General features: G+C 49.7%; 2 annotated features.

Annotated features, from left to right (window-relative positions):
* Positions 20,890-21,066: a silencer, noted in NCBI's record as "fragment chr5:929600-929776 (GRCh37/hg19 assembly coordinates)". NCBI's record gives its function as "represses an EF-1alpha promoter that drives an FKBP-Casp9 reporter gene in an ReSE screen in HepG2 liver carcinoma cells {active_cell/tissue: HepG2}" and the evidence as "EXISTENCE:reporter gene assay evidence [ECO:0000049][PMID:32094911]".
* Positions 23,352-23,411: a silencer, noted in NCBI's record as "silent region_15879". NCBI's record gives its function as "represses an Ori minimal core promoter by ATAC-STARR-seq in GM12878 lymphoblastoid cells {active_cell/tissue: GM12878}" and the evidence as "EXISTENCE:reporter gene assay evidence [ECO:0000049][PMID:35858748]".

Here is a 24,477-nt window from a genome sequence, read left to right as displayed (position 1 = left end):
CAACAGAAATGTCCCAAACTTCAGTTTAAGAAGAGAGACAAGAATGGGGAAAATTCAGGACATCCGAGAATTGCAGAAGAATTGTAAAAAGTGTAGCACATGCATAATTACAATACCAGAAGGAGAAGAAAGAGAGAAGGGAGAAGAAATATTTGAAGTAATAATGGCTGAGAACAGTCCATAACTAATGAAAGACACCAAACCACAGATCCAGATCCAGGAAGCTCAGAGATCAACAAAATAAATCCCAAGAAATCTACACCTTGGTATATCATATTCAAATGACAGAAAGCCAAAGACAGAGAGAAAATGGTGAAAGAAGCCAGAGGGGAAAACGCCTCACCATTAGGGGGACAGAGGCGGAAGCGACGCTGGACTTCTCCTCGGATGATGAGACGTAGTGAAACTGGCACTCGCCTCTCGGGTGTTCCCCCCGAAAACACTTACCTCTAGTCTAATCATGAAGAAACATCAGACAAATCTTATTTGAAGACCATTCTACAAAACACCTGACCAGTACTACTCACAATCATCAAAAACAAGGAAAGCCTGATAAACTGTCACTGCCACGAAGAGCCTAAGGAGGCGTGACCACGACGTGTCACATGGGATCCTGCACAGGGTCCTCAGGCAGAAAAGGGACATGAGGTGAAAACCAGGGGAATGTGAATGGGCTACGGACTTTTGTTAATGGCAGCGTGTCAATATTGGCTCACTAATTAGGACACATCCAGCGAATGAATGTAAGAGGTTAGCAGTAGGGGAATCCTGAGTGCCAGGAGTATACCAGCTCTCTGCAGCATCCTAGCAGTTTTTCTATAGCTTCAAAATTGTTTTAAAATAAAAAATATATTTTTAAAATATCAGAAAAAAATTTTTTAAATATATAGATGAAAAGATGGCAAACTATTTTTAAAGAGAAATGAACGAGCTCAAACAGAAATAAAAATTCTAGAAGTGAAAATGAAATAAATGAAAAAATGTGTTTAAAATTAAAAATTAGAAAAACAACCCTTAGGATAACCAAGAAAAATGAGGCATGCGTGGGACTGAGCTGGGTGAGACAGCCACCTGTCCATATGGAAGGAAAAGGCTCAAACAGAGCAGTGGGCAGGAGGCCCTGGGTCCAGTCACGGAACTTTGACAGCATCTCCCAAGCCCCTTGGGCCTCAGGGTCCTCATCTGTGGAAAACGATAACTGGATAAGCTGGTCCTTGGGCACCCGTCCAGCTCTGACCCCAGATCACGCTAAATGGCTGCCCTGACCCACCAAGGTGTTCAAATCTTGCCGTCCCTTACATTTAATTTCTCCTCCCAGGCCAAGCCTTCTTTTGCTCAGTTTACCTCTTGGGGGAGCAATCATGTGCCCCCTCACCTGGGAACCAGGTATCCCCAATACTGGAGCCGCACTCAGGCCTGGTCTGCTTGGTCCTTAGCCCTGCTCAGAGCTCCCCACCTCCTGTTCACTCACCCAGCCCTGCTCAGAGCTCCCCACCTCCTGTTCACTCACCCAGGTGCTCTGAGGGGTGACCTCACTGGGCTTTCCTCAAAGCCCCACTTCCATCCCTCCCGTCTTTCAGCCGTGGGCGTGGTGCCTGTTCTGGGGGTGCAGGTGGCGGCAGAGGCACTGGCCAGTGAGGAGGGGCCCACGGGGGCCAGAGCTCTGCGTCCAAGCATCAGGAGAGGATCGCACAGGGCAGGGCCAGCTCGGGGACATGAGGTAATGGGAAATGCAGTGAGAGGCCAAGGCCTGTGCCAAGCTCACCTGTGGCTCTGGGTGAAGGGGCCTAACTGGGGGCAGAAGCTGAACCTGCGCCATCCACTCTGCGCCCCCTGAAAACCCGAAGTTGAGCAGAAGATGCTGGACCCCATAGCACGCGTCAGCCCCCCGCCTCCCACGCTTCAGAAGGAGCTCTGAGCCCCATTGGGATTTTGTTTTAAACCCATGGTCTTTGGGCCATATGATGCAATTCAAGACAAGAAAGGGCAACTTCCTGAGATGACGACCAGCCTGGGAGGCCCAGCAAGTCCCCCAGCCCCAGGCCAGGGCGAAGGATGCTCATGAGAGAAACAGGCATTGCCGGCCTGCCTTCATCAAACAGGATCAGAATAACTTGCTGGTTGTTATTTTGATAGAGCAGAGAGGTTTCTCCAGCTCCCTCTGGAGTCTGCTAAGAGACCTCGAGATCGGAGAAGAGCTGTTGCCATTTTCCACTGAGAAGCCTGCGTTCCTGGGTGCAAGCGAGTGACGCCCACAGTGACACCCCATGGGGCACATGCAGTTCCCACCAGGCGCTTTCCTTGCTGTGTTTTAAGTGCCACTGGTGAAGACCCGTAGGGGACCTCTGGGGGTGTGGTCTTCTGACACTGGGCTGTCATCTGTCAAGCCCAGCCCTTCCTCCTCCTTCCCACGCCTGGGCCGCTCCCTCAGGCAGGACCACACGAGGCAGGACCCTCATCCAAGCCCAGCCACGGGAACCCAGGTCCCCCTCCCCGCCCCGCCCTCTCAATCCATCCTCAGGGCAGCTCGGAGCCACCCTGCTCCCCCAAAAAGCCTCGCAGTGTGAAGAAAGAAGCTTTTCACATCCTCCTGGTGTGTGTGTTGAGGTGGAGGGGTGGCGGGGGTGGGGGGTTGCCACAGGTCTTGGTGTCTGAACCAGATTCCCGGGAGGGATCTGTGTGGTTTCTGCAGAGGCCACAACAGGGAAGCAATTATCAGCAGTGCCCATCACAGTCCCCTAGAGATTCAGGTGCTGTAGACATGTTCTGCCACCCACACTGGTGTCTGGAAACTGGCCCAGATTTTGAGGACCAGATGTTATATCTGAAACATTCTCCTATCCACTCCCTGGCTGTGTGACCCCAGAAAAAGTCGATCAACCTCTCTGGACCTCCATTGACACCAGAAAGATACAGTCTTTGAACTAAATCAGCCTGCAGTCCCCGCCTGCCCCAGTATCCCGTGGTTCCTCTTGAGTTTTGATCCGACCTCAGCCCTGTCCCTGGTGCTAACTCACTCCTGTGGGGAAGAGAGTTTGGACTGTGGTGGACTCCGGGGTGTGACCTGCGGGGCTGGGAGGTACCTGAGACAGCAGGCATGGCAGAGACTCGACGGTCCCGGACCTCAGACAGCCTAGGGAGCCCAAGGCTCTTGTCCTGGCTGTGTGACCACAGGAAGCCACGTCTGTCTCCAGGCCCCACACCCACGCCTGCAGGGTCAGTGCGTGTCCAGTGCTGTGCACAGTGTGCCAGGAGTCAACAGAAAGCTCAGAGCAGGCTCTGGGGCCCAGCAGACGGCTTCTGCCTGTGAGTTCCATGCTGGATTTTACAAGAGGCCGTGGGGGCACAGGGGAGTCACACGAGGCACCGGAGCCCACAGAGCCAGCAGGCATCGAGGCTGAAGGTCAGCCCGGCCCGATTCCGGCCCTGAGCTGGATCCTCCAGGCCAACTGCCTGCTTCACTTCTGAGACATCAGAACAGGGACTGGGCTGGGGCCAGGAGCATAGAGCTGGAGCTTTCTCCATCATCCCTGCTGGCCTCGCTGGCTTGACCAAGGTCACGCTGAGGAGCGTGAATCCACATGCAATCCTAACAGCACGGACGCTGCCGCCTGCCCTCACGAGACCCAAAGGCACAGGCTGCACACAGGCGGTTTCTGCAGCAGCTGCAAACCTGACCCGAGAGAAACATAGCCTCAGATGCCCACCTCCTGGTGGACCAAGGGGACCCCAGAGCCACTCCCAGCATGGCGCTGTAAAGACCCCTAGAGCTGGAAGGAGAAGCTGAGCCCCAGGAGGGCTGAGGGCGGTTCCCTTTGAAAGGCCCTCCTATGGCCCTCATTTGGAGAAAGAGGCTTTAAAAACCATATAATTGGATGCAGGAGTCTATTTTCATTAAAGCAGTTTCCATGATGTAGCAAAGAAGCACTACAGCTCTCCAGTTACCAAAGCAGCCTGGGAACAATGGGGTTAAAAAGTCGCCAACGTACATTTCAGTGCCTGCAGCGTGCTGAGGACGACAGCGCTCAGAACACATGCCCCCAATCTGCTTTGTGTTTACCCGGGTTTACCCACCTCCAGAACGGTGCAGAACAATGCCTGGCTCTAGCGAGGTGAGGCTGCATCCGCCAGCTCTTGTTATTTCCCGCCCCAAAGCAGCCTATGGTGGAGGAACCAGGGAAACCAGGCTGTCCCGTGCATCTCTCCCCAGGAGAGCAGCCCTTTGCTGAGCATGACAGGGGAAATCATTGAGACCACACTTTTATTGAAAGCTCTGTGTCTGGCTGCTGTGTTCTGAACTGTGATTGATTACAGAGCCTGCTGGATGCGCCGGACAGCTCCAGGGTGGCGGGTGTGTTCCTGGCACAGACATGTGAGCTTGGGGTCACGAGGTTTAATGAACACTTTGCACCCTGCTGGCGCCTTGAAAGTTGATGCTTTCACAGGCGGCCGGGGCATCTGCCGGCAGGTTTTCCAGTTCAGCATTTTTCATTTTGCAGTCAAGGCAGGAGATGGGGGGAGAAGTGATAAAGTGGGACCTGGGGCATCTGCCAGAGCTATGCTGATGCTCCCCTCTGTGCTCCTGGCAGAAGCCACAGCCAAGGGGAACACTGGTCAGCCGGCCACCACCCTGCACCCTGACAAATGGAGCTGAAGCCACAGAACACGTGGGCTGCTGTGTGGAGCTGGCACTCCTGCCGGGCTGCCTCTCCAACCCAGAAGCTGAGGCTCCCCAGGAAAGTTCCAGCAGCAGCAGCCAGCCAGCCTAACTCCATCCTGGAGCACACCTGGTCTCAAATCTCTGCAGACTCACTCTCCGAGAGGAGCGCCTTCGTGGTGGGTTGAATCGATGCCATTGGGACATCACTAACAGCAACACACAGTACATCAAGGTGAGAGGAGGGCTGGTGCCCCACTTTTGGAGGCTGAAGCCTCCAACAGACTGCCCTTGTGGTCAGCACCCTGCAGTCTCTGTGGGTTCTCTCAGGGTCAGCGTGGCCAGGAAGCGTCTGCCAAGCCCTGCGCGGCACCAGCCAGATCCCCAATCCGAGTCTCAGACGGCAATGTAGAGTCCACATTTTCCTAATAACCTTAGCTCACATTGATGGCAATTGACCCTTTGGAACCTGCTTTTTATGGGGCATTTATGCAAAACCACAAAGACCAGAGGCTGCACATGTGCAGGTCCTGGGAGGGACCTTAGCAAAGTGTTCCCACAGTTACATCCTGGTGATGAGCAAAAAAGAGAAATTTTAACCAGAGTCAGACAAGACCGCACTCTCCTTCCACTCCGATTCCTCCCTGGTCCACATCCCCTGTGGCAGGAGAAGTCAGAGTCAGAGGAGGCAGGAGGAGCATGGAGAGTGATCATGGGAACACAAGGAGCACGGGGAGCATGGGGAGCACGAGGAGTATGTGGAGCACAGAGAGCATGGAGAATATAAGGAGCACTGGAAGCACAGGACACATGAGGAGTACGGGGAGCACAAAGATCATGAGGAGCAGGGGAGCACAGAGAGCATGGGGAGCACGAAGAGCATGGGGAGCATGGAGAATATAAGGAGCACTGGAAGCACAGGACACATGAGGAGTACGGGGAGCACGAAGATCATGAGGAGCAGGGGAGCACAGAGAGCATGGGGAGCACGAAGAGCATGGAAGCATGGAGAATATAAGGAGCACTGAAAGCACAGGACACAAGAGGAGTACGGGGAGCACAAAGATCATGAGAAGCAGGGGAGCACAGAGAGCATGGGGAGCACGAAGAGCATGGGGAGCATGGAGAATATAAGGAGCCCTGGAAGCACAGGGCACACGAGGAGTATGGGGAGCATGAGGAGTACGAGGAGCACTAGGAGCACGAGGAGCAGGGGAGCACAGACAGCATGTGGAGCATGAGGAGCATGGAGAATGTAAGGACCCCTGGAAGCACAGGGCACATGACGAGTATGGGGAGCATGGGGAACAAGAGGAGTATGGGGAGCACCAGGAGCACGAAGAGCAGGGCAGCATAGACAGCATGAGGAGCATGGAGAATGTAAGGAGCCCTGGAAGCACAGGGCACACAAGGAGCATGGGGAGCACAGAGCAGGGAGCACGGAGAGCAGGGGAGTGCAGGGCACTTGAGGAGCACAAGGAGCCCTGGGGTTGCCCAGGTGGGGGAACATGAAAAGCACTGGAAGTTACAGCCCTGGGCACATGTGTGTCCTCCACCACCCAGAGGGCACAACAGCTGTGGCCTTGGGGACCCTCCCCACTGGCCCCAGGCAGTTCTCTACAGCCCATAGCCCTCCTGATCCCCAGATTGTGAGGGCTGCTCATCCGCCCGGGTGACACCTTCCCAGGGCCCCACTGAACTCTGCTTCTATCTTGAACCTCTGTGATTGGAGGTTGTGCTTTTCTCTCAAGGAGCCAGATCCTTAAACATCAGAGGGAGTTTCTTCTGAATGAGCACAAAGTTCCCTGCATTTTCCTGCCATCCTCCCTCCCTCTCTCTGTGTCTGCTTCCTGCTTCTCCGGAGCCACCTCCGCCCCTTGTCACTAATGAGAACTTCTAGATGCCTGCTTCAGGCCAGGTCAGCCTCTTCAGCCCCACTTCTTAAACTCTCTGCTTTGATTCTGTCAGTTCTGAATTACTTTTGTGCTTCTTTTCTTGGTTTGCTATAACCTCTTTATGTGGATATTTTCAGTAGAGTTTCTTCTTCTCAGAAGCATTTACTCTTGTAAGACAGTTGTTTCCTCCTGTGCTGCTTGTTTCTTGAACTTAGGAAGGAATGTCTGGTCAGGATGGCTTTGATGGTCTCTGCTTTCAGGATGCCATCTGTTTCACAAAAAGTGCCAACACCAGATCGAATTTCAAAACATTAAGCCATGAGAGACTTTCATTCATGCACTATTACAGATTAGATATCTAGAAAAACACCCCTGGTACAAAACATGTAAAATACTGAATAAAGTTATTTTTTTCCTGTTTTAATGCATGGCTGAGCGGGCAAGAGTGAGCAGAAGTCCAGAGAGGGAAGTGGGGTCAAGGCGAGAGGAGCCACAGCAGTCCCCTGTGGCCAGGCGCATTGGATGCAGAACGGCATCAAAATCTGAGACCACGCAGGATGGAAAATCAGGCCTGAGAGTGCCACAGGGAGCTGGCACCTCCACCAGGTGAAACCCTCGACGAACAACTTAATAAAAATTGCTTATCAAGGGAGACAATACGGAAACTTGCCTGCCTTAGCCCTGGCTCTGGGAAGGTGCAGGGAAGGACTTTTCTAAGAATTCCTAACTATAAGCCCATATTCACGCAGCCTCCGCATCAGAATTTAGGTTTCCTGTGTGTCCTAAACTCAAGCTGAGAATGAGGCTAATAGAGGCTCTAGCTGGTCATGTTCCAAGGCATCCGGCAGCCTATGTGAGTTGTTTCTGGAAGAACCCACCCCAAGCCAGACTCATAGACTCTTACAGATAGAACTCTATTCAACAAGAATTCCTCTTCAAAAAAATCACAAAATATATTGATAAACTGCCCAACATGAGTGAGATTCACCAGAAGGAGCAAACAGCAGAATAAGACCTATGAACATTGGATACAAATTACTTTTTAAAAAATAAGTATACTTTATATATTTACATGTGGGAGGGGATATAAAAAAATATGACTAAGGAACACAAGACTATCCAAAATAACCAATCAGATTTGAAAGAGAGATAAATAGAACTTACAACAACATATGTGTGTGTGTGTGTATGTATATATATATGAAGAAATTATAGCTGAAATTAGAAGTGTAATGGTGTGTTTAACAGAGGATATGACACTGTTTCAGAGAGAACTAGTGAACTGGAAGACAAATCTGCAGGACAAAGAGATTTCTAAACAGGTTCAAGATAAGCGGCATGAAGAACAGAGCAAGGAAGTAGAACGTTCATTTACTCAGACTTCTAGAAGAAAACAGAGGAAGGCCATGTTGAAGAGATAATGGCTGAGAATTTTGAAGGGTTGAGAAACCCCAAACAGGGTAAATAAAAGAAAGTCAAATTTAGACACATTTTAGTGAAATTACAGAATACAAACAAAGAGAACATCTTAAAAGTAACCATAGAGAAAAGACACAGACCTCCTGGAAAGAATGCCAATCAGACTGACAGCAGACTTTTTTTTTTTTTTTTGAGACAGAGTCTGGCTCTTTCACCCAGGCTGGAGTGCAGTGGCTGATCTCGGCTCACTGCAAGCTCCGCCTCCCGGGTTCGCGCCATTCTCCTGCCTCAGCCTCCTGAGTAGCTGGGACTACAGGCGCCCGCCACCACGCCCGGCTAATTTTTTGTATTTTTAGTAGAGACGGGGTTTCACCGTGTTAGCCAGGATGGTCTCGATCTCCTGACCTCGTGATCCGCTCGCCTCGGCCTCCCAGAGTGCTGGGATTACAGGCATGAGCCACTGCGCCCGGCCAACAGCAGACTTTTCAACAGAAAAAACAAGAGGTCAGAATAATACCTTCAAGGACTGAAAGGAAATGCTTTGACCTTGACCTCTATATCCTGCAAAGCCATTTTTCAAGAATGAGCACTGAAGATAATTTTGTTTTTCAAAAAAAAAAAAGCAAGTTTACTATCAATAGATATTTCATAAAGGAGTTTCCAAGGGCAAACTTCAAGAAGGAGAGAAAGATCCCTAAATGATAATTGAGATATCAGAAGGAATGGCAAAGAATAAAATTGGAAACTGGGAGAACTGGCTAGTCATATGCAGAAAATTGAAACTGGATCCCTTCCTTACACCTTATACAAAAATTAACTCGAGATGGATTAAAGACTTACATGTAAAACCCAAAATTATAAAAAGCCTAGAAGAAAATCTAGGCAATACCATTAAGGACATAGGCACGGACAAAGACTTTATGATGAAATTGTCAAAAGCAATTGCAACAGAAGCAAAAATTGACAAATGGGATCTAATTAAACTAAAGAGCTCTGCACAGCAAACGAAACTATCTTCAGAGCAAACAGACAATCTACAGAATGGGAGAAAATTTTTGCAATCTATCCATCTGACAAAGGTCTAATATCCAGAATCTACAAGGAACTTAAGCAAATTTACAAGAAACAAACAACCCCATTAAAAAGTGGGCAAAGGATACGAATAGACACTTCTCAAAAAGAGACATACATGTGGCCAAGAAACATATGAAAAGAAGCTCAACATCACTAATCATTAGAGAAGTGAAAATCAAAGCCACAATGAGATACCATCTCACAGCAGAGTGGTGATTATTAAAAGGTCAAGAAACAGATGCCGGTGAGGCTGTGGAGAGATAGGAATGCTTTTACACTGTTGGTGGGAATGTAAATTAGTTCAACCATTTGGAAGATGATGTGGCTATTCCTCAAAGATTTAGAACTGGAAATACCATTTGACCCAGCAATCCCATTTCTGGGTATATACCCAAAGGAATATAAATCGTTCTATTATAAAGATACATGCACTTGTATATTCATTGCAGCACTATTCACAATAGCAAAGACATGGAATCAACCCAAATGCCCATCAATGATAGACTGGATAAAGAAAATGTGGTACATATACACCATGGAATACTATGCAGCCATAAAAAGGAATGAGATCACGTCCTTTGCAGGGACATGGATGGAGTTGGAAGCCATCATCCTCAACAAACTAACACAGGAACAGAAATCCAAACACCACATGTTCTCACTTATAAATGGGAGCTGAACAATGAGAACACATGGACACAGGGAGGGCAACAACATTTACTGGGGCCTGTCTGGGGAGGGTGGGTGGGGAGAGCACTGGGGAAAAGAGCTAACGCATACTGGTCTTAATACCTAGGTGATGGGTTGAAAGGTTCAGCAAACCACCATGGCACACGTTTGCCTCTGTAACAAACCTGCCCATCCTGCACATGTAGCCCAGAACTTTTAAAAAAAAAAGAGAGAGAGAAAAAAAAACCCACACATAGTCAATGTCATTAAACATTAGCTGTACAGCCGGGCACAGTGGCTCATGCTTGTAATACCAGCACTTTGGAAAGCTGAGGCAGGCGGATCACGAGGTCAGGAGTTCAAGACCAGCCTGGCCAACATGGTGAAACCCCGTCTCTACTAAAAATACAAAAATTAGCTGGGCGTGGTGACAGGCATCTGTAATCCCAGCTACTCTGGGAGGCTGAGGCAGGAGAATTGCTTGAACCCAGGAGGCGGAGGTTGCAGTGAGCTGAGACCATGCCACTGCACTCCAGCCTGGGCAACAGAGTACGACTCCATCTCAAAAACAAACAAACAACATTAGCTGTACAAAACAATAGAAATTAAACATATTATTGGAAATTAAAGAAAAGAAAATAGAACTAAAATACTGGACATTAACAGCATATAACTCAAGATGAATTGATTGGAAATAAACAAGGGAGGGAATTAAAATATACTTTTTTAAAACCTCAGAATGCTCAAGTTATATATATATTATAATGAATGTTAGAGTAGGATTTTAGAAGCAGCTCAGTAGTCTTCTCATGTTAAATGTATGCATATTCTATGACCCAACAACTCCGTTCTTTAGGTATATCCCGGTAAAAACCTTTATTCACCAAAAAACTGTGTAAAAACATTCATAGGATGACTCCTAATTGCCCCATACTTAAATAGTCCAAATGTCCATCAACGGCAGAATGGATGAATAGCCACATATTCACACCACAGCAGCTTTGAGAATGAACGGAACCCACTTACATGCAAAACCATGGCTGGATCTTACAAAGGAGCAAAGGAAGGTTTTTGCACGACCCTGTTTACAGACAGCCCCAAGCAGGCCACACCCATGGACAGCGTCAGAAGTCAGAGGGGCGCTACCCTCATTGTGGGGTGGAACAGGACCATGGAGTGGGCTGGGCCCTCCAAACTATGTGTGCTGACTCCCTAACCCAAAATGTGACTGTCTTCAGAGACAGGGCTTTTGGGAGGTAACTGTCAAATGAGGTCATAGAGTGGCCTTAACCCTATAAAACTGGTGGTCTTATAAGAAGAGGAAGAACTCTCTGCCTCTCCACGCCCTCCGCGTGCCGCTGAGGAAAGACCTGTGAGGCAGGAAGAGGGTCCTCACCAGAACCCAACCCTAGCAGACATAGATCTGGGACTTCCAGCCTCCAGAAGCAGGAGAAAATAATTTCTGCTGTCTAGAAGTCCCCCAGGTGTATTTTGTTATGGCAGCCCATGCTGACTGAGACAGATGGTGACCGGTAGGAAGACTGGGGCAGGGGCTTGTAGGGGGCCAGTCATGTTCTATTTTGGGTCTGGTTACTACAAGTGTGGTTAACTTCGTGAAAATTAAACAAGTTGTAAACTTGGGAGATGTACACTTTTTTTGCTATGTATATTATACTTCAAAAAAGTTTACTTTTTATTTTAGAAAAACATAAACAATCCCTGAAATATGGTAAAGAGACAAATTTCATATCTCTATATTGCTCCCATGGACCAAATTCAGAACAATTTGGGCAACAGAAAAAAAATGAAGATAATGGAGTATAAAATATTGAATTTCTAAAAATCTATGCATTCCTAGAGATCCAAGAGGGGAGAGGTAGAGGAGAGAGAGGAAAAGTGTGAAAATGAATTGCAAAAATAACCATTTGAAATGCTTTCTGAAATCGTAAAATACATTCAAAATAACTCCTGGATCAAAGTGACCATAGTGGAAATGAGAAGTTTCTGGAATTGAATGATAGACTCCCCCACTCTTGGGCATGTGGGAGGCAGCAGGAATGGCTCTGAGAGAAATGTGTTAAACACTCACCTGGAAAAGAAGAGAGCTTAGTGAGCAAAGCATCTAAGTTAAGAACTCAAAACAGGAGATTGAGCCCAGGAGACGCAGCAGGGGTAGACCACGGCAGAGGCGACCTGGCCTCCCTTCTCCCTGCCTGGTCCTCTTCAGTCTTGCTCCAGCTTTGGTCTGGCATTCGGTCTTCTCACAAGAACGTGGAGCTCTGGCCACCCACCTCCATCCTCTGTCCCTGCCTTCCCCCTGAGCCTTCCTCTCCTGACGAGAGGCCCGGTCCAGAGGAGGTGGTATGAGTGCCACACCAGGGGTGGGTGGGCTGCCACCAGCCTCAGCCCTGACCCCAAAGCCAGGGCCACTGGGCTGAGGTCTGTCCTGGAGGTTGTGGGTCCTGAGTCCTGGGCCTGGAGTCAGGGATACGTTCCCAGCCCAGCCCGGAACATGGGCCCACCTCTCTGCTTGCTCAGCAGTGACCCTGCTGGGCCAGACACCTCCACGGACAGGCAGTGGTCCCGGCATGCCGAGAACATGGACATGGGACAAAAAGGAACCTTTTTTTTTTTTTTGAGACGGAGTCTTGCTCTGTCACCCAGGTGGAGTGCAGTGGCACCCTGTCAGCTCATTGCAAACTCTGCCTCCCGGTGTTAAGCAATTCTCCTGCCTTAGCCTCCTGAGTAGCTGGAATTACAGGTGTGCGCCACCAGGACCAGCTAATTTTTGTATTTTTAGTAGAGACAGGGTTTCTCCACATTGGCCAGCTGTGCTCGAACTCCTGACCTCAGGTGATCCACCCACTTCTGCTTCCCAAAGTGCTGGGATTACAGGCGTGAGCCACTGCGCCCAGCCACAAAAGGGAAACTTTAAGCGAAACAAAACACAAGCATCCACAGCTGATCCTGCTTTGGGTCACCAGAGTGAGAATCTTCAAGTGTGCTCCACACCTGGGAGCTGCAACCTGCAACTGTTGGTCAAGGAGCCTCTCCTTGGGTCGCGGTGCAGCCCTGGGATGCCAGCCCCTGCTCCCCAGGGGTGTCAGGTGGTGGACACTCAGTGCCCAGGTGCAGTCCTGCCACCGCCCGCCATGCTTATAGTGTGTGCTCAGGGGTCCCCTTGGCCCAGACGGCCTCTGACTTTACTTCTGACATCCAAGCCCTGGTCCTTGCCCCAGTTTGGGAGGATCTCAGCCCCGCTGACTTGATGGCTTTCAGCTGCCTGAACTCTTACCCTAAAACTCTGCCTTAAAGCTCAGGGTGGCTTTACTGAAGCAACACACTCCCTCTTGAGGAAGGAGCCAGTCTGTCCCCTTTGTTTTGCCAGAGGCTCTATGTCACCTAGCATGGTGTCTGGGATCATGGCGACCAAGACACTGAATCCTCCAGCCTGCTCCGGGCGGATCAAGGCACAGGCCCACTGGCCCCAGCAACCTACACGGCCTCTGTTTCCCCTTCAGCACGATGGGAGAGATTGCAAAGCTTCCCAAGAGCTCAGGTCCAAGCCTCTCCAGGAAGTCCGCCACTGAATGTTTTTCCTAGAACAAGTTCCCACCACACTCCTCTTTTATCACCCCTCCCCGGTATCTTGTTTTTCCCATCACAATCCCCAAGCTGGGGAAGAAACTTTTCTTCCTGAAAGGCAGCCTGAAGTAGAAGCGTGGCCTGCTGAACTCTGCAGAGCCCGGATGTGTTTCAGTATACGACAGAGGTGCACCTCTCCATGGGTGCACCAAGGAGAGGACCACAGACATGCCACAGGAGGTGGAGGCTATGGGGATAGGGGCCCAGAAAGAGAGCACTGAGGAGGCCTCAGACATGAGGGGGCTGCAGATGCACCAAGAAGAGGACATGGCGTGGGGGGCACAGGCACACATGTCATGGGAAGCCACCAACACACCACATGGGGCCACATTCTGGAGCCACCACAGAAGGGGGTCTCTAGGGGGCCACAGAACCACCTGTGGGGTCCCAGATTCCACCTTCCTCTCACCAGAGAATTCTGTTTCACTTCATTTACAGGGTGGGCTTCTAGGTAAGACTTCTTCTAAAGGAAGTTTCTGTGGATTTCATGAAAACAACTGGCATGAAGGTGAAAAGCAAAGCTCTCTATCCAAAGACGTCATGATTCCCAACCCAGCCTCTCCCTGTGACGGCACCAGCTTGAGTGGGCAGCCAGGATGCCGACTGGCTCTCTCCGTGCTGGGGTGGGGTCAGGGCTATAGCCCACGGAGGAAGCCAGAGGGAGAACTTTAAAGCGGGGCAAAGTCCCAGTTCCCCAGTCCCATGGGAATGAACCCCAGTCGGGAGAAACAAGAAGAAACTTTCCTAGATGGCTTCTCATGAAGGTGCAGAGCAGGACCCAGCAGCGGCCGGAGACAGGCAGATCCAGCGTCAGGGCACAGGCCTCGTGACAACAGACCATGGGCAGGAGAACACACAGGAACGAGGGTGAAGTGGAACATTCCAGAAACACCACCGCTTGCCACCGTGGGGGACAGTGTGGGACTGCCAGCACCAAGCATCTGTGAGGAAGGGTCCAGGCTGCCTCTGGGCTTAGAGGCTTCCAACTTCCTGAGGACCCGATGACTAAAGTGTTGAGCCATGTAATAGGTATCAACTCCACTTCCTCACGCAGGCGAGAGAGGGTCTGCTTGTAGTCACACACGCAGCGTAAGACCAAGCCTTTGACTGTGTCGAATGGACAGCTTGTCATCTGCCTGCTGGAAGTTTAAGTTGCAGCAATTCACTCATTCCTCAGGCTGTGCAAACACTGAGCTGCTCATCTCGCCACAAGGGAAGATTAGTGATATGGTTTGGATTTGTGTCACCCCTAAATCTCATGTCAAGTTGGAGGAGGGGCCTGGTGGGAGGTGATTGAATCCAAGGGGCCAACTTCCCTTGCTGTTCTCATCATAGTGAGATCTCACGAGATCTGACGGTTTAAGTGTGTGCAGCACTTCCCCCTTCGCTCTCTCTCTCCTGCTCCACCACAAGATGTACCTTGCTTCCCCTTCTGCCATGATTGTAAGTTTCCTGAGGCTTCCTACCCATGCTTCCTGTTAAGCCTGTGAAACTGAGTGAATTAAACCTCTTTTCTTCATAAATTACCCAGTCTCAGGTAGTTCTTTATAGCAGTGTGAGAATGGATGAATACAGAAAATTGGTACCAGGAAAGTGGGGCATTACTACAAAGATACCTGAAAATGTGGAAACAACTTTGGAATTGGGTCATGGGAAGAGGTTGAAACAGTTTGGAGGACTCAGAAGAAATAGGATGATGTGGGAAAGTTTGGAACTTCCTAGACTTGTTGAATGGTTTCAACCAAAATGCCGATAGTGATATTGACAATGAAGTCCAGGCTGAGGTGGTCTCAGATGAAGATTAGGAACTTATTGGGAACTGGAGTAAAGGTGACTCTTGCTATGCTTTAGCAAAGAGACTGGTGGCATTTTGCCCCTGCCCTAGAGACCTGTGGAACTTCAACTTGAGAGAGATGATTTAGAGTATCTGGTGGAAAATATACCTAAGCAGCAAAGTGTTCAACATGTAACCATGTGACCTGGCCGTTTCTTTGTTTTATTATTTTTATTTATTTATTTATTTTTGGAGACAGATTCTTGCTGTCACCCAGGCTGGAGTGCAGTGGAGCGATCTCAGCTCACTGCAACCTCCACTTTCTGGGTTCAGGCAATTTTCCTGCCTTAGCCTCCAGAGTAGCTGGGACTACAGGCACACATCGCCACACCCAGCTAATTTTTTTTTTTTTTGTATTTTTAGTAGAGACAGGGTTTCACGTGTTGTCCAGGCTGGTTTTGAACTCCTGAGCTCAGGCAATCCACCTGCCATGGCCTCCCAAAGTGCTAGGATTACAGGCATGAGCCACTGCACCCGGCCAACCTGGCTGTTTCTAAAAGTGTATGCTCATATGCGTGAACAAAGAGATTATATAAAGCTGGAATTTATATTTAAAAGGGAAGCAGAGCATAAAAATTTGGAAAATCTGCAGCGCAGCCATGTGGTAGAAAAGAAAACCCATTTTCTGGGGAGAAATTCAAGCTTGCTGCAGAAATTTGCTTGTAAAGATGAGCCAAATAGCCAAGACAATGAGGGAAATGTATCCAGGGCATGTCAGAGACCTTCATGGAAGCCCCTTCCACACAGGCCCAGAGGCCTAGGAGGGAAAAATGGTTTCATGGGCCAGGCCCAGGGCCCAGCTGTTCTGTACAGCATCAGAATATGGCATTCTGCATCTTAGTTGCTTCAGCTCCAGCTGTGGCTAAAAGGGGCCAAGGTACAACTTGGGCCATGGCTTCAGAGGGTGCAAGGCCCAAGCATTGGTGACTTCCACATGGTGTGGGGCCTGCAGGTGCACAGAAGTCAAGAGCTGAGGTTTGGGAACCTCTGCCTAGATTTCAGAAGATATATGGAAATGCCTAGATGTCCAGGCAGAAGTCTGCCTGCAGAGTCCTCATGGAGAACCTCTACTAGGGCAGTGCAGAGGAGAAATGTGGGGTTGGAGCCCCCACACAGAGTCCTCACTGCAGCACTGCCTAGTGGAGCTGTCAGAGGAGGGCCACTGTCTTGCAGATCTCAGAATGGTAGATCCACTGACAGCTTGCACCATGCACCTGGAAAAGTCACAGGCACTCAACACCAGCCCATGAAAGTTGCCATGGTGGCTGTACCCTGCAGAGCCACAGAGGCAGAGCTGCCCAAGGCCATGGGAGCCCACTCCTTGTGTCAGTGTGGCCTGGATGTGGGACACAGAGTCAAAGGAGATCACTTTGGAGCTTTATGGTTTAATGCCTGCCCTGCTGAGTTTTGGACTCGCATGGGGCCTGTAGCCCCTTTCTTTTGCCCAATTTCTTCCATTTGGAATGGAAGCATTTACCCAATGCCTATACCCCCATTATATCTTGGAAGTAACTATTTTTTATTTTACAGGATCATAGCTGGAAGGGACTTATCTTGTCTCAGATAAGACTTTGGACTGTGGAGATTTCAGTTAATGCTAAAATGAGTTAAGACTCAGGGACTGTTGAGAAGGGATAATTGCATTTTGCAATGTGAGAAGGACGTAAGCTTTGGGAAGGGCCAGGGGTCAAATTTTGTGGTTTAGATTTGTGTACCCACCCAAATCTCATGTTGAATTGGTGAGAGGCCTGGTGGGAGGTGACTGAATCCAGGGGGCTGACTTCCCCCTTGCTGTTCTCATGATAGTGAGTTTTCATGAGATCTGAAAGTTTTAAAGTGTGTGGTACTTCCCCCGTCACTCTCTCTCTCCTGCTCCACCATAGGAAAATGTGCGTTGCTTCCCTTTCACCTTCCACCATGATTATAAGTTTCCTGAGGCCTCCCAGTCATGCTTCCTGTTAAGCCTGCAGAACTGAGTCAATTAAATCTTCTTTCTTCATAAATTACCCAGTCTCTGATAGTTCTTTATAGCAGTGTGAAGACAGACTAATATAATTAGAAAGTACACAGAGACCTAACTTTAGGTTCATTTCCAGAAGAGGGCCTGACCTGCTGCTCAGGGGTTAGTATTTCTTGCTTAGTCTTGTCTTTCTCATGGAGACACAGGCATACACACTTTCTCCATCTTCACATCCAGCTTCACTAATGGGTCATACTTTCCTTTCATTCCAAAATTTAAGCCAAATAAAAACTAGCCAGAACATTGGGCAATTGTTCTCCAAAAGGGAAATAAAAGAAGTCATTTATCTCAGCAGAAAGTATAACAACTCTGTTATGAGTTTATGGGTGAACCCAGGAATTGCCTTCCCTTTGGATCACCCCTTATGGCTCTAGTTCTGCCCAGAAACAGAAGGTTCAAGCCCTGGCCAACCAAAGCCAAGAGCTGCCCTCAGTCCTCATTCCTTGCTGGAAAACGGGCAGCCATATCCTTTTTCACAGAGGTGCAGAGGTCAAGTTAGTCACAGCTCAGCTCAGGATGTGGTTCTGAGGAGGCGACTGACAGGTGGCAATCGTCACTGATGCCTTGTTGCTGTTCTTCTCCAGTGACCATCGTCAGCCTCTGATTTATTCCCAGGCACCAGCAGCCAGGCTTCAGTCATCAGCCTTGCCCAGCTGAACACAGCTCCTGCTCTTGGACAGAGGAGGGTGGGTTTCAGGAGGGCAGCCACTCAGTCCCGCAGCTCGGGCCCAGGCTACCATGCTTCCTCTGGGCAGACCACTCTGTCCCTCAGTGAGCAGAGGGCTGGCATGTTAATGTCCCACTTGGAATTACTGAATTGACTCCCATCATCCTTGTATTCCTCTCTCTGTTCCTTCCCAGGACATAGCAATGCCTGAAGGGAGGAGCCTGTCCATGCCATCTGCCCCTCAGACACCAGCTCCGGCGGCGTGGATGCTGCTGCCTTCCAGGTGGCTGGGAGCCCGCTCTCACGTTTGGGGGTTAATGTCTGTGGAAAGGGAGGGTGCCCAGTTCACATGGGATTTTGCTCCCCTGACACAGAACGCAAGGATGCTGTGAGCTGAGAGTGAAGTCATTGTCCACCTCCCAGGGGCCACACTGCAGGTCCAAGTACAGAAAAGAGAGTGTCTTAAAGGAAGCCTTTGACTCTCTTTGGCTGAGTTTATGGAAAGGAAAATGAATCAAGCCCAAAATGGCCAGTAATGGCAGGGTCATTATTCCTTAAATGAAGCTCCACCTGCCTTTCCAACGAGGCAAGAACCAAATGCGTCCTTTGAAAGGAGGGCTCAGAGGTGCGGGTGCAGAACCCCATGCTCTCTTGAAGCGGTGTGGCCTGTCCCCAAACTGAGAGTCCCCATCTTCAAAACGGAGAGTTTGGTCACTTGAATTTTGTTGACATTTCTTACCTTGGGAAGCAGCTGGCTTCGTGCTGTTCGAAGTTGACCTCCTTTGCTCCAGATGGGAAGTGCCCCCAAAGCTGGCATGAACAGCTGTCACTCCCTAAGAAACTGCAGCTTTTTCTGAGGGCGGGAGCAGGTGCTCACCGATTTCCTTCTGTGGCGTGATCCTGAAGGAGCTAAGAGCCCACCACCCCAAAGGCATTGCTCTGGCTTTAAGCTGATCGCCATTCCATGTCTTAAAAGCAGGAGACGAAATTCTCATGTGAAAGATGCCCTCCCCATACGTTTGGGAAAGCATCTTTCTTATCAACAGTGGGAGGCCCAGACCCAGAGAGATTTCAGCATAGCCTCCTTAAAATCACTCTTCTTGGCAGCCTCCGCACACAATGTATTTTTCACAGCTTACTACTCCACCTCCAATTCAGGGTGCACAAAAGTTCTTTGAAAAGGAATGTAGAGGAAAGACTATTCCTATGAACAGTTTGTGAAGTGGGAGATGCTGCCTTCAGCGTAAAACCAGGATGCTTTCCAGAGAACAAAGAGAGGGTCCAGCTTTTATACTGAAAGTTCTCACATAGGTTCGCTTATGCAAATGAAAAATTCAAACTTCCTGTGTTCTGATGGGTTGGTTCAGGGGAGCTCTGGAAGTCCCAAAGTTTAACAGAGGTATGGGATTTCAAGGAACTCCGGGTACCCGTGTGACCTCTAGTCAGCAAACGGTCACTGGGCTCTATGAGGATTTAGGGCCGGTGAGCCACTAGAGATCCACCCATCCACTTCTTGCAAGTCCTGTTTGCTCACATGGGTGTGAGTGTCCAACTCTGTGGCTTTAGGGCATTCCTTCCATGGGAGGCTCTCCCACCATATAGAGCTTCCTTTAAATAAGCTTCCGTGCTTTCCTCCTGTTGATCTTTCTGCGTCAGTTAAATTCTCCGGTGCAGCCTGAGAGTCTGTACACAGGTGATCATATTCACAGGTTAATGTGCTCACAGGTGAATGTACGGGGAGGTGAATGTGTTCACAGGTGAATGTACTGGGATTAAATGTGCTCACAGGTGAATGAATGTACTGGGAGGGGAATCTGTCACAGGTGAATGTACTGGAAGGTGAAGGTGCTCACAGGTGAATGTACTGGGAGATGAAGGTACTCACAGGTGAATGTACTGGGAGGTGAAGGTACTCACAGTGAATGTACGAGTAGGTTATGTGCTCACAGGCGAATGTACTGGGAGGTGAAGGTGCTCACAGGTGAATGTACCAGTAGGTTATGTACTCACAGGTGAATGTACTGGGAGGTGAAGGTGCTCACAGGTGAACACATTTGGAGGTGATGGTGCTCACGGTGGAAGTATTTGGAGTATACCTGTGTATGTCTGTTCTTGCAGTGCTCTAAATACCTGAGAAATCTTACAATCATTGTGGAAGTCTAAGGGGAAGCAGGCACATCTTCACTTGACCAGAGCAGGAGGAGGAGAAAGAGAGGGTAGGTGCCATATGCTTTTTAACAGATCTCATGAGACCTCTATGAGAACATCAGCCAAGGAAGAAATCAGCTCCCACGATCCAATCACCTCCCACCATGCTCCACCTCCAGCTTTGGGGATTACAATTCAACATGAGGTTTGTGTGGGGACACAAATCCAAACCATATCATTTCACCCCTGGCCTCTCCCAAATCTCATGTCCTTCTCATATTGTAAAATAAATCATCCCTTCCCAACTGTCCCCCAAAGTCTTAAGTCAGCACTAACTTAAAAGCCCAAGTCCAAAGTCTCATCTGAGACAAGGCAAATCCCTCCTTCCCCTGAGCCTGTAAAATAAAAAACAAATTAGTTACTTCCAAGATACAATGGAGGCACAGGCACTGAGTAAATGCTCTCATTCCAAGTGGGTTAAATCGGTCGAAAGTGAGGGGCTACAGGCCCAATGCAAGTCTGAAACCTAGCAGGGCAGCCATTAATATATTAAAGCTCTGAAATGATCTCCTTTGACTCCATGTCTGACATCCAGATCATGGTGATGCAAAGGGTGGGCACCCATGGCATTGGGCAGTTCTGCCCCTGTGGCTCTGCAGGGTACAGCTCCCATGGTTGTCTTCACAGGCTGTTGTTGAGTGCCTGCAGCTATTCCAGGTGCATGGTGCAAGCTGTCAGTGGATCTACCATTCTGAGGTCTGCAAGACAGTGGCCCTCCTCTGACAGCTCCACTAGGCAGTGCTGCAGTGAAGACTCTGTGTGGGGGCTCCAACCCCACATTTCTCCTCTGCACTGCCCTAGTAGAGGTTCTGCATGAGGGCTCTGCCCCATACCAGACTTCTGCCTGAACATCCAGGCATTTCCATGTATCTTCTGAAATCTAGGCAGAAGTTCCCAAATCTCAACTCTTGACTTCTGTGCACCTGCAGGCCCCACACCATGTGGAAGTCACCAATGCTTGGGCCTTGCACCCTCTGAAGCCATGGCCCAAGTTGTACCTTGGCCCCTTTTAGCCACAGCTGGAGCTGGAGCAGCTGGGACACAGGGCACCATGTCCTGAGACTGTACAGAGCTAGCTGGGCTCTGGGCCTGGCCCATGAAACCATTTTTCCCTCCTAGGTCTCTGAGCCTGTGATGGGTAGGGCTGCTGTGAAGATCTCTGACATGCCCTGAAGACATTTTCCCATTGTCTTGGTTATTAACATTTGGCTCCTCTTTACTTATGCTATACAAATTTCTGCAGCAGGCTTGAATTTCTCCTTAGAAAATGGGTTTTTCTTTTTCTACAACAAGGCTGGGCTGCAAATTTCCCAAACTTTTATGCTCTGCTTCCCTTTTAAATACAAGTTCCAGTTTCAGATAATCTCTTTCTTCACACATATGAGTGTACACTTTTAGAAACAGCCAGATCACCTCTTGAAAGCTTTATTGCTTAAAAATTTCTTCTTCCAGATACCCTAAATCATCTCTCTCAAGTTCAAAGTTCCATAGATCTCTAGGGCAGGGGCAAAATGTCACCAAATTCTTTGCTAACGCATAACAAAAGTGACTTTTTCTCTAGTTTCCAATAAGTTCCTCATCTCCATCTGCGATCACCTCAGCCTGGACTTCATTGTCCATATCATTATTCAGCATTTGGGTCACAACAATTTAACAAATCCCTAAGAAATTCCAAACTTTCCCTTATCTTCCTGTCTTCATCTGAGCCCTCCACACTCTTCCAACCTTTACCTGTTACCCAGTTCCAAAGTCACTTCCATATTTTCAGGTATCACTACAGCAATGCCCACTCCTAGGTACCAATTTTCTGTATTAGCCATTCTCCCATTGCTATAAAGAACTGCCTGAGACTGGTTTATTTATTTATTTATTTAGAGATGGAGTTTTGCTCTTGTTGCCCAGGCTGGAGTACAGTAGCACGATCTTGGCTCACTGCAACCTCTGCCTCCTGGGTTCAAGTGATTCTCCTGCCTCAGCCTCCTGAGTAGCTGGGATTACAGGCGTCCGCTATCACCCCTGGCTAATTTTTTGTATTTTTAGTAGAGACAGGGTTTCATCATGTTGGCCAGGCTGGTCTCGAACTCCTGACCTCAGGTGATCCACCCGCCTCGGCCTCCCAAAGTGCTGGGATTACAGGCTACGGCCACCACGCCCGGCCAAGACTGGATAATTTATAAAGAAAAGCAGTTTAATTGGCTCATGTTTCCACAGGTTGTAGAGAAAATATGGCTGGTGAGGTCTCAGGAAACTTACAATCATGGTGGAAGGTGAAGGGGAAGCAGGCATGTCTCCGCATGGCCAGAGCAGGAGGAAGATGGGGAGAGAGTCATGTACTTTTAAACAAGATCTCAGGAGAATTCTATCAGAACAGCACCAAAGGAGGAAATCAGCCCCCATGATCCAATCACCTCCCACCGACCCCCACCTCCAACACTGGGGATTGCAATTCGACATTAGAGTTGGGTGGGGACACAAATCCAAAGCATATCAACCTGTTTGTAGTATTCCGCTCCCTGGACATCATGAAGGCAGGAGTGAAATTCCAACACTAAAGGTCGGTGATGGTCTTCAAGTACTTACCTGTCGGTTCACTGGAGCAACTTTTAAGCATTGTAAATAGAGATCTGTTGAGGATGTCAGTGATGACGTCACCCAGTACTCTCTCTAGCCCCAAACACAACTGGATGTACGTTTTATAAGTTCTTAGATGGCTGTTGAGCAGTAGAAGAAGATATCCTAAAAAGCCTCCTGGCTTAAGCACATTTTTTAAAAAACTAACACATCAGTGTAAAATAATATTTTGTTAGTACTCATCGATAACGAAATCAGCTCTGAGCAGATTCTCCCAGTGAAGGCGTCCCTGCTCTGGCTCGCGAGGACGTGAAGCCTGCGGGGGCAAAGGCCGGAAGGAGAGGCTGCCAGAAAAGGCCAGGGGAGAGGCTGGGGTAAAGGATGGGAGGAGGGAGGCCAGGAGGGGCTGGAACAGCAGGGCCGGTGCAGTCAGTCGCTGGCCCAAGGGAAGCCCCAGGTCGCTGGGCTAGGATTGTGTCTTGGATTTGGGGTCCTGGCCTGGATTTGGGGTTGCAGGTTGGATTTGGGGTCCTAGCCTGGATTTGAGGTCCTGGCCTGGATTTGGGGTCGTGGCCTGATTTGGGCTCCTGGCCTGGATTTGGGGTCGCCCCAGCGCCACCCGCGCCCACCCAGAGCCGCGGAGAACAGGGCTTCGGGACAGGTCTGGAAGCCGGTGAGGCTGGGGGCGAGGGCTTCGTGGACTCGGTGCGTGGGGTGGGGCCAGTTCCGTGGCTTCCAGGGTCCTGGGCGCGGGTGTAGACGCAGCCTCCCGCACTAGGGGGCGGTCACACCCTGCCTGGCCTGGGGCGGGGCCCGAGTCCCCGCGAAGCCGCCCTCGGAGCGGCCCTGACGCAGCCCCCAGGCTCGCCCGGTCCCTCCTGGCCTCGGGCACACGGGGCTGCCAGGCGCGGGCGCCATCCAGCCGTTCCTCCCTTTCCGCCGGTTCCCGCCGGGTGCCTCGCAGGGCCGGCAAGTCCGCGTTCCCGGGGAAATATTCGGAGAGCGCTTCTCCAGCTGATGGCAGGAAGAAATAACCCTGAGCAACAGGGAAGCCGAGGGCGCGGGAACACAGCGCCGCGTGGCTCCGGAGGCTCTGGGTGCCTTCCCTCCCCAGGAAACGCTGCCGAGTAGGTAGAAAACACTAAATAAAAGCCACGTGTGGAGTGTGAAGAGCTCTGGGAAGGTTTTCATAGAGGACACCAAGATGACAGACGCAGCAGAGTTTCAGTCACAAACGAAGCTCGGGTGACAGGGAAGGGGGACGCGAGGGGCCCAGGAGGGGCGGGCGGGGAAGAAGCGCGGACGGCGGCCCCCGCAGGGCGGGAGGAGGAGGCTGCGGCCGCGAGGACAGCTCGGACGGGGGAGAGAAAGGAGGTTTCCAGTAAAAATAATAACGCCAGAGAGAAAACCGTAACTCGCGTGACACAGACAGAAATTTCCAGTAATAATCATCAGGTGATAGAGAAGGAAGGCTTCCAAAATGAAGAACAAGTGAAATAAAGGTTTTAGTCATGAATTACAGCACGTGCGATGGATGAGTGGTGATTTCTCATCATAAATGGTAACTCGGGAGATAGAGAAACGTGTCCAGCCCTAAACTACAACAGGGTTTGGTTTGAAAGAGAGGTGCTGTCATAAAGCGGAACTCAGGGGATGGGGAAGACGGCCTCCGTCCCAAATGACAACTCAATGACAGAGAACAAAAGATCCAAACTAAAGTGATGGAGAAAAAGGGTTTCCAACCACCACACAAATGAAGAGAAAGACTGATCACATAATGAAGTATTCAGTCATTAATACATGATAAACCCGGTGATA

This window comes from Homo sapiens, chromosome 5 (assembly GCF_000001405.40).
Source record: "Homo sapiens chromosome 5, GRCh38.p14 Primary Assembly".
Taxonomy (NCBI): Eukaryota; Metazoa; Chordata; class Mammalia; order Primates; family Hominidae; genus Homo; species Homo sapiens.
The sequence above is the reverse complement of the archived record's forward strand: the minus strand, read 5'-3'. Positions and strand labels throughout refer to the sequence as shown.